Below are 13,379 nucleotides of genomic sequence, written 5' to 3'. Positions count from 1 at the left end.
ATTACAAAGTCACGCCACAGAAGAATAACTTTCTTTAGAACTTTTCTGATTTTTTGTTGGTAAAAACATCAGAAAACGAAACTTCAGTCAGTAATGTGATTGAAAAAATATTTTGAGTGACAAAAGTAAATAGTTTTTCTGCAAATAGCCAGATGTGGTGGTGCGCACCTGTAGTCCAAGCTACATGGGAGGCTGAGGCGGCAGGATCTCTTGAACTCAGGAGTTGGAGGCTGCAGTGAGCTATGATGGCATCACTACACCGCAGTCTGAGGGGACAGAATGAGACCCTACCTTTAAAAAATTAAATAAATACGGCTGGGTGCAGTGACAGGCGCCTGTAATCCCAGCAACTCAGGAGGCTGAGGCAGAAGAATTGCTTGAACCTGGGCGGCAGAGGTTGCAGTGAGCCAAGATCGTGCCAGTGCACTCCAGCCTGGGCGACAGAGTGAGACTCCATCTCAAAATAAATAAATAAATACTCCAGCCTGGGCGACAGAGTGTGACTCCATCTCAAAATAACATACATACATACATACATACATACATACATACATACATACATACATACATACGTAGTAATCCCAGCTACTCTGGAGGCTGAGGCAGGAGCATTGGTTAAGCCTGGGAGGCGGAGGTTGCACAGTCAAGATCACGGCACTGCACTCCAGCTAGGGTAACAGCATGAGGCTCCATCTCAAAAAAAGAAAAAATCGTGAAGAGGGTAATTTTTGCCAGATGCAGTGGCTCAGGCCTGTAATCCCAGCACTTTGGGAGGCTGAGGTGGGAGGATCACTTGAGCCCAGGAGTTCAAGACCAGCCTGGGCAACATAGTGAAACCCTGTCTCTTAGAAAAACAAAATTATTGTGTATAAAAAAGATAATGTAACTTTAAAAATATTTTTAATTTAGCTAAATACAGCTTTTTTTCTTCAGAACTGACCAGCATACCTTTTTAGACCTGACAACAGAGCTTTTTTGACACAAAGTTCTAAGCCTGTGTCTGGGCAGTTGTTTGCATTACCTTTTATTTTTTCTTTTATTATTTTTTGCCTACCAACTACCTCTAAAGATTTCATTACTTTTTAAGCCTTTTTTTTTTTTAATCTTTTTAAAAATTAAATAGAGACAGGGTCTCTCTATGTTGCCCAGGCTAATTTCGAACTCCTGGGCTCAAGCAGTGCTTCTACCTTGGCTTCCCAAAGGCATGAGCCACCATGCCCCGCCAAGATTTTATTATTTTTTGTTCTTCTGCTTTCTCTTGAGCTGATTTCCCCCACTCTACCAAGGGAAAGAAGATTCAAGTAAGTCATTGGCCAGTTAAGATGAACAATAGCTTTAGGTCGTTTGGTCAAAGGAATGGGTCCTTTATGTTACTTAATTTGATGCTTATTTTTCCTATGGGAACAGGTTATATATGGTTGAGAGGCCTAAATTCACTGTCTTTTATTTGTTGTTACTTAGTATTTCTAGTGCTTGAGAGCCTTATCTGTTTGACCCAGATTTTGGAATCTAACTTATGCTTTTGGTGTTCAAATCCTTAACAATTGTATGTACTTTCCAGGCAACAGCTGAACAGATGCGTCTCGCTCAAGTGATCTTTGATAAGAATGATTCAGATTTTGAAGCTAAAGTTAAGCAGGTATGTTTCTGGCAAAGGATATCATCATTTTTATAATCTATTTTGATTGTGCTTAAAAAGATAATTTCAGTAAAGATTTTTGTTTTAAAGTATTACTTCTAGCTTCTAGTCTCACCTGAAATCTGTATATTGGATTTTGGACTTGTGATTAAAAATACCTTTATTGGTGGGCAAGTGAAGGAATTGAATACGTTCACCTGCCTTACAATATAATCTTTCTGAGTTACTAGTGTTTACATGTGAACATTGAACCAGACATTTCTGTAAGCACACTGAGGTTTTCCGATACCTGTGCATAGAAAGTATATCTAACATTTGGCACAGTCTCTGGGAATTGTGTTTAATGTTAGAGATGAACTGAATTACCTTTAAAAAATTTTTTTTTCATAGAGACGTGGTCTCACTCTGTTGCCCAGGCTGGAGTGCAGTGGTGCTGTCATAGTTCACTGCAGCCTCAAACTCCTAGGCTCACGCTATCCTGCTGCCTCGGTCTCCTGAGTAGCTATGACGACAGATGTTCATCACCATGCCCAGCTAATTTTTAAAATATTTGTAGAGACAGAGTCCTGCAGTGTTGCCTAGGCTAGTCTTGAATTCCTGGGCTCAAGCAATCTGCCTTGGCCTCCCAGAGTGCTGGGATTACAGGATTACTGGCCTGAATTGCCATTTCAAACATGGTTGTGATTTCATACTCTTGTTGGAAAAGTATAAAATTAAATTTTAAGGCAATGTCTTCATTTTGAACTTTAATAAGAGGTATTTTTGATAACTTAGTCTTAATTTCTAACTCTTCTTTGCTGACCCTTTCTCATCAAGATCCTAGAAACCAAGCTGTAACCGCTACCTCAGTGCCAGATATTCCAACTCTTGGTAGATGTCGTCTAATAATTGTTCTTTGGAGTAAAGGTCTCACAATGAAATCTTGTTTTGTCTCACAAGAAATCATAGATTTCTTTCTCTGGAATGAGATCTTCATACAGTTTGAGATATACTTCTGTATATTACATTGCCTTTTATCTGAATAGTATAGATAGAACACTGGCCCAGGAGTTCAGAGATTTAAGTTCTAATTTTAGTTCTGTCTGTCAATAATCTGATCACTGGGGAAATTTTGATGTTGACTGTGTGTCTTAAAAATTGTATGTTGCAGGCATTCACTTAGTACAGATCATTGATAAAAATGAGACATTTATTAGTAGCTATCCAAAGACTGAAGCATCAGAAAGCTATAGAGTATGCAGAACTTTTGCTGCTTGATAAAATGAAAAGATGAAAGCAGGGAGGCCAAATGGTATAGTGCAGAGAGCTGTGATTATGAGATCAGGAGGCCTGGGTTCTAGATGGGCTTTGCTATTAATTACCTTTGTGACCATAGACAAATCACTTGATATGTTGGGATCAAGCTGTTTTGAACTTCAGCTAGTACATGTTAAAATAGTTAAATGTAGTTAAAATGCAATAGATATTAAATCATAGATTTATTCACTGATACTTGAGAAACCTGCATTTTGCCTAGTCTGTGATCGTTCTAGTGATGAAAATGCTAAGTAACAAGTATCTCTTGCTAATGAGAATAAACTGAAGAGTTTCTTTCATCATTACTTCAAGCATAGCACCATGTTGAAGATCCTTGAGAAAATATGTCTAGGAGTGTGTTTTGTGATAGTAGCAGAATTCCACTTGTAAGACTTTAGGGTGTCATATAACTTAGTATGTACATGGAATGATGTTTTTTCTTCTTTTTTTTGAGGGGGGAGACAGGGTCTCGCTCTGTCTCCTGTGCTAGAGTGCAGTGGCACAATCATGGCTTATTGCAACCTTCACCTCCAGGGCTGAAGCAATCCTCCTACCACTACGCTCGGTTAATTTTTTGTAAAGATGAGGTCTCACTATATTGTCCAGTCTCGAACTCCTGGGCTCAAGCAATCCTCTCGTCTCTGCCTCCCAAAGTGTTGATTATAGTTGTGAGCCACTGCGGCTGGCCTTTGAAGTGTTCTAATCCAAATGGTGAAAGCCAGCATATGGAATATTGTCCCTGACAAAAAATTTGTATTGGATTTTCCATGAATGATGACCGTGTACTCATATAGTTCCACCTCATATTTAAGTTTAGGAATCCTGTGTGCTTGAATTAAATTTGATTATTCAGATACTTGATCTTGGGTATTCTGAGAATGTTGGTACGTATGTGTGTGCTGCTGATTAATGATCTGCTCCTTGGTCAACTTGGAGGAAGATTGATTTGTAGTTAGATTCTACCAGTGTTAGTGAAAAGACATGCATGGAATGGCCACAAAAAAATAAGTAAACATGTCCTCATTGTAAACTCAAGAGTCTAGAAGAGGCCATCTTCATGTAGAAGGATTATGTAATTCTGTATTTGTATAGAAGAATCTTAATATCAAGTGCCAGTTTTTTGTTTGCCTCTAACCATTTTCTGATATGTTCACTAGCTTATGGAAGTGACAGGGAAAAATCAGGATGAATGCATAGTGGCCCTACATGATTGTAATGGAGATGTGAACAAAGCTATCAATATATTGCTGGAAGGGAATTCAGACACAGTAAGTATTATTAATTGATTTGCATTGTTTACATTTGTCTCCAATTCCGTAGCACATTTTCAACTTCACCTTGTTTGGGGGTAGGGATGGAATGGATTATGGTGCCATTCCATATTTGTTTTAAGTTCCAGAAAGAACGATTACCTGAAAAGACTGTTTTTGTTATGTATGGTTTCTTCATGAAGTCGTAGAATCTGATGACTTGAAAGAGAACTTGGTGATCTACTCCAGCCTTACAGTTTCCAAAAATCTCTGTGCCTGTGTATATTTTCACCACCCCCACCTGAAAAGCATCTCTTGGCTCTGTTGCTTATGTTTCTTCATCTCAGTCCTCACCTCTGATTACTTCTTACATCTCTATTATAACAGAAAACCAGGATTTGCTGGTATATGTATTTGCTTATGTGGAATATTAAGTTTTCTTTTTTTTTTTTAATATTGGGTTAAGTTTGGTGAGCTTGCAGGCTCATGAGCTCAGGCCTTGGATTTTAAGAAGGATACAGCTAAAGCTACACCAGGCACTTGTCAGCCCTAAAATTTTGCTGTGTGTATATATTTATATTTATATATTATAGTTTTTATACATATGTATATATTTATTTATAAATATATATTTATTTAATAATTTTAAATTTTAAATAATTTAATTTTAAATTAAATTAAATTATTTAATAATATATTTAATAATATAAATATATTTATATATTTAATAATATAAATATATATATTTAATAATATAAATATATTTATATATTTAATATATATTATATATAATATTTATAATATTTGTTTAATAATATATAAATATATATACTTTATATATATATTTATATTTAATATATATATTTATATATTTATTTATTTTTTTGAGACAGCCTCACTCTGCCACCCAGGCTGGAGTGCAGTAGTGTGATCTTGACTCACTGCAACCTCCGTCTCCTGGGTTCAAGTGATTCTTTTGCCTCAGCCTCCCAAGTAGCTAGTACTACAGGCATGCGCCACCACGACCAGCTAATTTTTGTATTTTTAGTAGAGGTGGGGTTTCGCCATGTTGGCCAGACTGGTCTCAAACTCCTGACCTCAGGTGATCCACCCGTCTTGGCCTCCCAAAGTGTTGGGATTACAAGTGTCAGCCACCACACCTGACCTGTGTTTATGTTTCTTAAATTGAGGAAACTATTTTAGAGTAGATTAAAAAAAAATGACTCACCTAAAAGAGGATACAAAGATGAACACATCAATAACTACCTTTCCTTGGAAAATTTAAAACAAACAAACTGACCGTGTCAGTGTTCAGATTTAATTGAAGTCTCATTTTAGGGTCATGCTGCATTAGGTACAAGAAATACAAAAATGAACTCTGAGAAACTGAAAGCTAAAATGACTGTGTTTTTAGTTGATGTGAAACAAAGAGAATGAATTCTTTTAAAGTAAAAATTAACTAATGTGGAAAAGATTTCACTGTTTGAGTGTAGCAGTAATTGTTGGTAAAATTCCATGTAAGAGAACACTGGTACACAAGACAAACCATCAAATTTGTGATTTTTTTTTTTTGGGAAAACCATATTATATGATAAATTAAAATTTTGAATAGTTTTTGTTTACTGACCTGGGACTAAGTATCCTGGGTTTTGCAAAATATGGAGGATCTGTTTACCTTATCGCTAATGGGTACAGCAGAGAGTGGCTTTCAGTTATTTTCAAAGTGAACTGAAGAGCCTAACCGCCCTCTTTGTTTAGGGAAAAAAAAAAAAAAGAAAAAATCTTTGGGAATAAACAAAATAACCCAAATTGTTCACTGGAGAGGATCTTTTTGGATCTTTTTATGGTAGAGATAAGTCCAGACACTATTTTTTGTTGCCTTTCCTTTAGCTCCAGCAGATTTAATTCCTTTTCTCTGGTAGTTTGGTGAATTTTTAAGTTTTAAATGTCCAGTTTTCTCTTTCTGTTTTGAGTTTTAACACCCCCTCCTCCTTTGGGACCGAACCTGAAGGAGCTGGTTCTGGGCTATGTATTAGAAAGTAAGACTGACTGGGCACTGCGGCTCATGCCTGTAATCCCAGCACTTTGGAAGGCCTAGGTGGGCAGATCACGAGGTCAGGAGTTTGAGACCAGCCTGGTCAACATGGCGAAACCCCATGTCTACTAAAAATACAAAAAATTAGCCAGGTGTGGTGGTGGGCGCCTGCAATCCCAGCTACTCAGGCGGCTGAGGCAGGAGAATTGCTTGAACCCGGGAAGCAGAGGTTGTAGTGAGCCGAGATCGCGGCATTGCACTCCAGCCCAGGCGACAGTGCGAGACTCGGTCTCAAAAAAAAAAAAAAAAGAAAGCAAAGCTGAACTTTTCATGAAGAACACCTCTTTGGTTACCTCTTGAACGATTTTATAGTGTGGGCTATATCTGACTTCTTGTTTTCTTCAAAGATAAGAAAATAGCAAATGAAGTTCTGAATATAGTTGTGAAAGAATACACTTGTTCAGGGCTGAGTGGGCTGTGGGGGACAGAAGTAGAGGTAAAGTCTTTGTTTTAGTTGTTTGGTGTTTTGGGTTTTTTATTAAGACAGGGTCTCACTCCGTTGCCCAGGCTAGAGTGCAGTGGTGCCATCACGGTTTACTACAGCCTCGACCTCCCGGGCTTATGCCATCCTCCAGCCTGCCGAGTAGCCGGGACCACAGGCGCATGCCACTACGCTTGGCTAATCATTTTTATATTTTGTAGAGTTAGGGGGTCTCTGTGTTTCTATGTTGCTCAGGCTGGAGTCTTTGAAACCCTGGTTTGTTGAGGACCACTCTCTGGTACATCTTGTCTCTCATACTGTTTGCCTCATCTCTTACCTAGTTGCCATCTGCAGCACCTATGGCTAAACAGCTTTGATTATCTTCCCTTGACTGAGATAGAGTTAATTGGAGTAGGGTTGACAGAATATAAACACTGTGATGTTGCTAGGAGCAAGAGCATGAAGGCAAACGATTCTTTTCCTATTATCTAACCTTCCTCTGTGCTGAAACAAAATTATTACTTGGAAAAGGTGTTAAGTGGAATCGTCCATGATGTTTTTAAGGATAAATTTATTTTTTCTTATGTAAGTATATCTGTCACAAAGGAAGATATTGAACATAAGTACTGAACTTTTTGTTTCATCATAATGTTTGGTTGATGTGACAAAATTGTTTTGAAGTATCGGTCTCTTGAATTAATGTACTTAACTCTTTTTAGTAAGTTGTTTGTGTTGGTAGTTTTTGGCAAAGGCAAAGTGGTGGGAGAGTAATTTTTGAACTAGCTGGCTTCGAAGACTGCTGTTCTGATTATTATGTGGTGGCTGGGAGGACCTCTCCTCTTAGAGTTTCTTCAGACCTGTTCTGCAACTAGCAAAATACCGATAACAGAGGTTGCCAGAAATTCTCTTGGAAATCCTCCATAATTACTTGGTTAACTTTTTAAAGTATGCATGTGTGTATACTTTGCAGACTTCAGCAAAATACACAGTAATCTTTTTAGCAGTTACTATGGTATTGTAAAGATTGCTTCTTAAAGGTTCTTTTCCCTATTTGTGCCCCCCCCCCTCCGCCCGATAAGTTGTCTTTGTAGAGCTCATAAACCAAGACTTTGCTTGAGGGGCAGTAGGATGGGGAGGGTATCTTTTTTTTATTTTTATTTTTTTGAGATGGGAGTCTTGCGCTGTCACCCAGGCTGGAGTGCAATGGCATGATCTCAGCTCACTGCAACCTCTGCCTCCCAGGTTCAAGCAGTTCTCCTGCCTCAGCCTTCTGAGTAGCTGGGATTACAGACATGTGCCACCACGCCTGGCTAATTTTTTTTTTTTTTTTTTTTTGAGATGGAGTTTTGCTCTTGTTGACCAGGCTGGAGAGTAATGGCGTGATCTCGGCTCACCACAACCTCCTGCCTCCCGGGTTCAAGCGATTCTTCCGCCTCAGCCTCCCGAGTAGCTGGGATTACAGGAATGCGCCACCACGCCCGGCTAATTTTGTATTTTTAGTAGAGATGGGGTTTCTCCATGTTGGTCAGGCTGGTCTTGAACTCCCAACCTCAGGTGATCCACCCGCTCAGCCTCCCAAAGTGGTGGGATTACAGGCATGAGCCACTGCACCCGGCTGCTAATTTTTGTATGTTTAGTAGAGATGGGGTTTCACCATGTTGGCCAGGGTGGTCTGGAACTCCTGACCTCATGATCTGCCCACCTTGGGCTCCCAAAGTGCTGGGATTACAGGTGTGAGCCACCGTGCCTGGCCAGGGTATCATTTGCTATATGAAATGGGGTAAAGTGTTTCTCAGATGTTTTACAAAGACAGCTGGCCCCTTTATAAAGATAGAGTACCTTTCGGCGAGGCTGTGTAAAGATGTACATTGTGTATACATACACTTTATGCCAACTCTTCTGGGATGATTTTTCCAGGACCTCTGGAATTTACTTTTTGTATTCTAACCTAAGAGGACTGGATTCTGTTTTACACAGTTGTCTAGTATTTTCATATTAGCAAACATAATAAATTGAGTTTGTTCAGTGTGGGCATTATTTTCTCTGGCATAGATAAGCTTTATTGTTTAATTAGAAAAGAAATGCAGAAAAATATTAAAGATTAAATCAAATTAAACATCCTCACTTAAATAATGACTTATACCTCTTCCTTCAGTAAGTACATAGGCTCCTATTTGAACTAAAAAATGTAATTCTATATGCTGTTTGCTGATAGCTTGCTTTTTCTATCAAGGACCTCTTTCTATATGTACCTATGTAACTGGTAAAATGGCTACATACTGCTCCATTTATGGATACACTAGACTACTTAGTCTCCTGAATTTGATATTTTGGGAATCCGCCTCCCCTCCTTTTATGCTGTTGATCATTTTGTCTGCACATAAATGTTTGAACAATTCTTACGTTATTATTATTATTATTTTTGATACAGAGTCTCGCTCTGTCACCCAGGCTGGAGTGCAGTGGTGTGATCTTGGCTCACTGCAACCTCCACCTCCCAGGTTCAAGCCTTCTAGGTTCAATTGATTCTCCTGCCTCAGCCTCCTGAGTAGCTGGGATTACAGGTGCCTGCCACCACTCTCAGCTAATTTTTGTATTTTTAGTAGAGATAAGAGTTTCACAATGTTGGCCAGGATAGTCTCCAACTCCTGGCCTCAAGTGATCTTCCTGCTTTGGCCTCCCAATGTGCTGGGATTACAGGCGTGAGCCAGTGTGCTCGGCCACGTTGTTTTATTTGAATAAGGGCCTAGAAGTAGAATTGCTGGGTTGAAAGAGTATGCACCAAATAGGCCAGGCGCAGTGGCTTATGCCTGTAATACCAGTACTTTGGGAGGCCGAGGTAGGTGGATCACCTGAGGTCAGGAGTTCGAGAGCACCCTGGCCAACATGGTGAAACCCCGTCTCTACTAAAATTACAAAAATTCACTGGGTGTGGTGGTGTACGCCTATAACCCCAGCTACTCGGGAGGCTGAGACAGGAGTTATCACTTGAACCCAGGAGATGCAGGTTGCAGTGAGCCGAGACTGTGCCATTGCACTCCACTCTGGGTGACAGAGTGAGACTCTGTCTCAAAAAAAAAAAAAAAATTGGGGGGTACTATTTCTAAGTAACCTTCTAGAAAGGTTACAATAGATGCATGCTCACCAGAACTGTATGATAATACCTCATTGTTTCACCTTAACTATCAGGTGATAGTATATTCAGTCTTCATTATTAAAGCTTAGAGGTGGAACATAATTTATATCTTTTTCATATCCATTTTATATCTAATTAAATATGTGAGTTCATCACAGCTTTGCAGAAGACCAGATATTCCATTTCAAAAAAAGAGTTTGGAAGTTGGCTTCCACTGTTATGGAAATAATTCAACTTATCACCCAAATTTTAGTTTATTAATTTCCAGTGCTAATGTTTACTTTGGATATATAATGTCAAATTTTGTTTTTCTGTAAGATTTTTAAAAAGCATAAAACAGTTACTCTTAATTTTGGATGGAGTCATTTCCAGTCCCTTCTGAAATAAGGCAGATTATGAATAAGTAAATGGAAACTATTGGGCCAATTTTAGGATTTCTCTGTAACTACCCTGCTTGATAATTTTTATATCCACTTATAGTCAAGAATGTAGTATCTTTTTCTTTCTCAGCCATTTATATATATATATATATGGTAGATTAGATTTGGTATCACCATTAGGGGAGAGGTGGAGAAGGGAGGTTATATAAATTATTTGACTTCTCACTAGAAGAATTCTTTGGAGGTTAAAAATTTAGGTGCTTTATAAATTTTTTAAAAACCCACCAAAACCAAGCTAAAATTTTACTTATCTGCCATTAAATTGTTTTAGATAATTAGTTTGAATAATGGAACAGGCAAGGTTGTATTCCTGGAGCTTTTGGGGCATCATTCTAAGTAATTTTGTGGTCTTTGAATTAATAAGTAGATTTAAGGCCTAATAGAGAGGTAAGTGAGGTGGTGTAGAATAGGAGCTTGGGGAAATGACTTTTACTGTATTCCTAAATTTGCATAGGAAAGGGCTTTATGTTGGGAAAATGTACAGTATTTTGTCAGGTCAGCTAATAGCTGTAATTATTTAGCAACAGGAGCTTAGCAAGAGGATTGTTACCTTCATCATCAATAAAGTAGAACTATAGGGAAAGAATTTAAATGATAAGCAGGTGAGCTGCAAGCTGTGGGTAGTTAGGTTTGAAAGATACGTGCATGTGCCGGGCGCGGTGGCTCACGCCTGTAATCCCAGCACTTTGGGAGGCCAAGGCGGGCAGATCACGAGGTCAGGAGATCGAGACCATCATGGCTAACACGATGAAACCCCATCTCCACTAAAAATACAAAAAATTAGTTGGGCGTGGTGGCAGGCGCCTGTAGTCCCAGCTACTCAGGAGACTGAGGCAGGAGAATGTTGTGAACCTGGGAGGCGGAGCTTGCAGTGAGCTGAGAGGGCGCCATGCACTCCAGCCTGGGCGACAGAGCGAGACTCCGTCTCAAAAAAAAAAAAAAAAAGAAAGATACATGCATGTGCCTTTGATAATTGTACACACTTTGAATGATAAATGATTAACAGCCGTTCTCTCTGATAGACTTCATGGGAGACTGTAGGGTGTAAGAAAAAGAATTTTGCAAAAGAAAATTCAGAAAACAAAGAGAATAGAGAGAAGAAAAGCGAGAAAGAATCGAGTCGTGGACGTGGAAACAACAACCGGAAAGGAAGAGGCGGCAATCGTGGCAGAGAATGTAAGTACAGACTTTCTCCTCAGTTTTTTCTCTTCTTTCATCTCAAGTGACCCTCCCGCCTCAGCCTCCCAAAGTTTTGGGATTACAGGCATGAGTCACTGCGCTCAGCTTTCTCAAATTTTTTCTTAGTTTCCATACATTCTGAACGACTGAAAGATTAGTCCATAGTATGCTCATAAATTCGTTTCCTCAATGCAGAATTTGTTCTAATAGTTAACACTAGAAATGAGTGGCACCTGAGTAGTTTCATAAGCGCCTCCCATGTGGTTTCGTATCAGCATTGACCTGGGCTGTAGGCAGGTGGTTGTGTAGTGTGATGACTCCCTTCTGTTATGAGTCAGACACATTTGTTAATTTTAGAATGGTGTGTGTGTGGCAAAGAAGGGGCCAGGGGCCATTTAGTTACAGGTAGATAAAGCTGTTTTATATTCTCCATTTATAGACACTCATGGTATAGACAAGGGTTAGATTAAGAGGAAAGTTGCTGAATAGGCAGGATTTCTCATAGGCAGGTCTCATTTCCATTAGACCTAGGTTTTCTAGGTTTTGTCACTGTTTATGCAAAACAACCTTGTCTGCTCTGGCAGTGTGTCAGTGTAGCTAAGTTATGAAAGAATAAAATGTAAATATTTAACATATCACCCTGAGACTCTTGCTGTCTCATATATTCCACTGATATTTATTGAGTATCTACTATGTAGTGGATACTTTTATAGGCATACAGCAATGAATAAAGTAAGTAAAATCTTTGCCTTTCTAAAACTTTTAATGAAGGTCAAATGGGATGTAACAATAAAGAAAATAAAATATTTTATATTAATATATTTTAATGATGTTATGTAGAAATTATGTTATAGGGAAAAACAGAGATGCAAATTATGGGAAGAGGTCTGGCAAATTTAAGTGGGTTGCCAAGGAAAGCCTCACTGGAATTCATGTGAGTCAGCCTCTGAAAGAGGTGAGGGGAGCAAGCCATGCCAATATCCTTCATAAAATTTCTGTATTATGTAGAGCTATTAATGCCAATATAGGGATGAGAAAAAGAAAAGACTGCGTGTTGGCATCTTCCTGTTAGTATCCTAGAAAAACCCAACTCCAACACTTTAGTTTTTCTAAGAACTCAGGGTTTCCTTGGTATTGCTATTTTGCTATTCTGTGCCTTTCCAGGCTTTGAACCTAATTAATGAGCAAATTCTGTGATACATTAACGTAGTTGCATAATGGAAGTAGTTTTTTTGAAGCAAAAACTTCACAGCAAGTCCACAAAGAAGAAAGAAAAATCAGTATGTTAATTTATTTTCAGAATTTTCATGTGAATTAAGGAAGATGTGATTTCATATATATATATTTTTTTCACTTTTTTTGAGACAAGGTCTCACTCTTTCACCCAGGCTGAAGTGCAGTGGCATGATCACAGCTCACTGCAGCCTTGACCTCCCTGGGCTCAGGTGATCCTCCCACCTCAGCCTCCTGAGTAGCTGGGACTACTAGCTGCACGCTGTCACAACCATACCTGGATAATTTTTGTATTTTTTTGTATTTTGTATGTTGTATTTTTTCTGAGACAGAGTCTTGCTCACTTTCCCAGGCTGGAGTGCAGTGAGGAGATCTCGGCTCACTGCAACCTCCGCCTGTTGGGTCCAAGCAATTCTCCTGCCTTAGCCTCTCGAGTAGCTGGGACTATAGGTGCGCGCCACCACACTTGGCTAATTTTTATATTTTTTGGTAGAGACAGGGTTTCCGTGTGTTAGCCAGGCTGGTCTTGAACTCCTGGCCTCAAGTGATCCACCCGCCTCAGCCTCCCAAAGTGCTGGAATTATAGGTGTGAGCCACTGTGCCTGGCCAATTTTTGTATTTTTTTGTATGTTGCCCAGGCTGGTCTCAAGCTCTTGGGCTCAAGAGATCTGCCCCCCTCAGCTGGAAATT

The 13,379-nt window shown here is 39.1% G+C and overlaps 1 protein-coding gene across 9 annotated transcripts in view, besides 1 other annotated feature; it reads left to right on the top strand.

Moving 5' to 3' along the window:
- UBAP2 (ubiquitin associated protein 2) overlaps positions 1-13,379 on the top strand; it is a 127,507-nt gene that overhangs the window by 48,774 nt on the left and 65,354 nt on the right. For all 9 annotated transcript variants that reach the window (NR_163243.2, NM_001370059.2, NM_020867.2 and 6 more), the window contains 3 exons: positions 1,562-1,639; positions 4,093-4,203; positions 11,300-11,453. Coding sequence is in view for 8 of the 9 variants with exons in the window: in NM_001370059.2 (NP_001356988.2) it covers positions 1,562-1,639; positions 4,093-4,203; positions 11,300-11,453 (343 nt within the window). In the remaining variant the exon portion in view is untranslated. The remainder of the gene's footprint in view (positions 1-1,561; positions 1,640-4,092; positions 4,204-11,299; positions 11,454-13,379) is intronic.
- Positions 11,078-11,579: an enhancer, noted in NCBI's record as "H3K4me1 hESC enhancer chr9:33988845-33989346 (GRCh37/hg19 assembly coordinates)". NCBI's record gives its function as "activates a minimal SCP1, AML or CMV promoter by ChIP-STARR-seq in primed H9 embryonic stem cells {active_cell/tissue: H9 hESC(primed)}" and the evidence as "EXISTENCE:reporter gene assay evidence [ECO:0000049][PMID:30033119]".

The sequence above is a fragment of the Homo sapiens genome, chromosome 9, assembly GCF_000001405.40.
Source record: "Homo sapiens chromosome 9, GRCh38.p14 Primary Assembly".
Classification (NCBI taxonomy): domain Eukaryota; kingdom Metazoa; phylum Chordata; class Mammalia; order Primates; family Hominidae; genus Homo; species Homo sapiens.
This window is presented reverse-complemented; position numbering and strand designations above follow the sequence as displayed.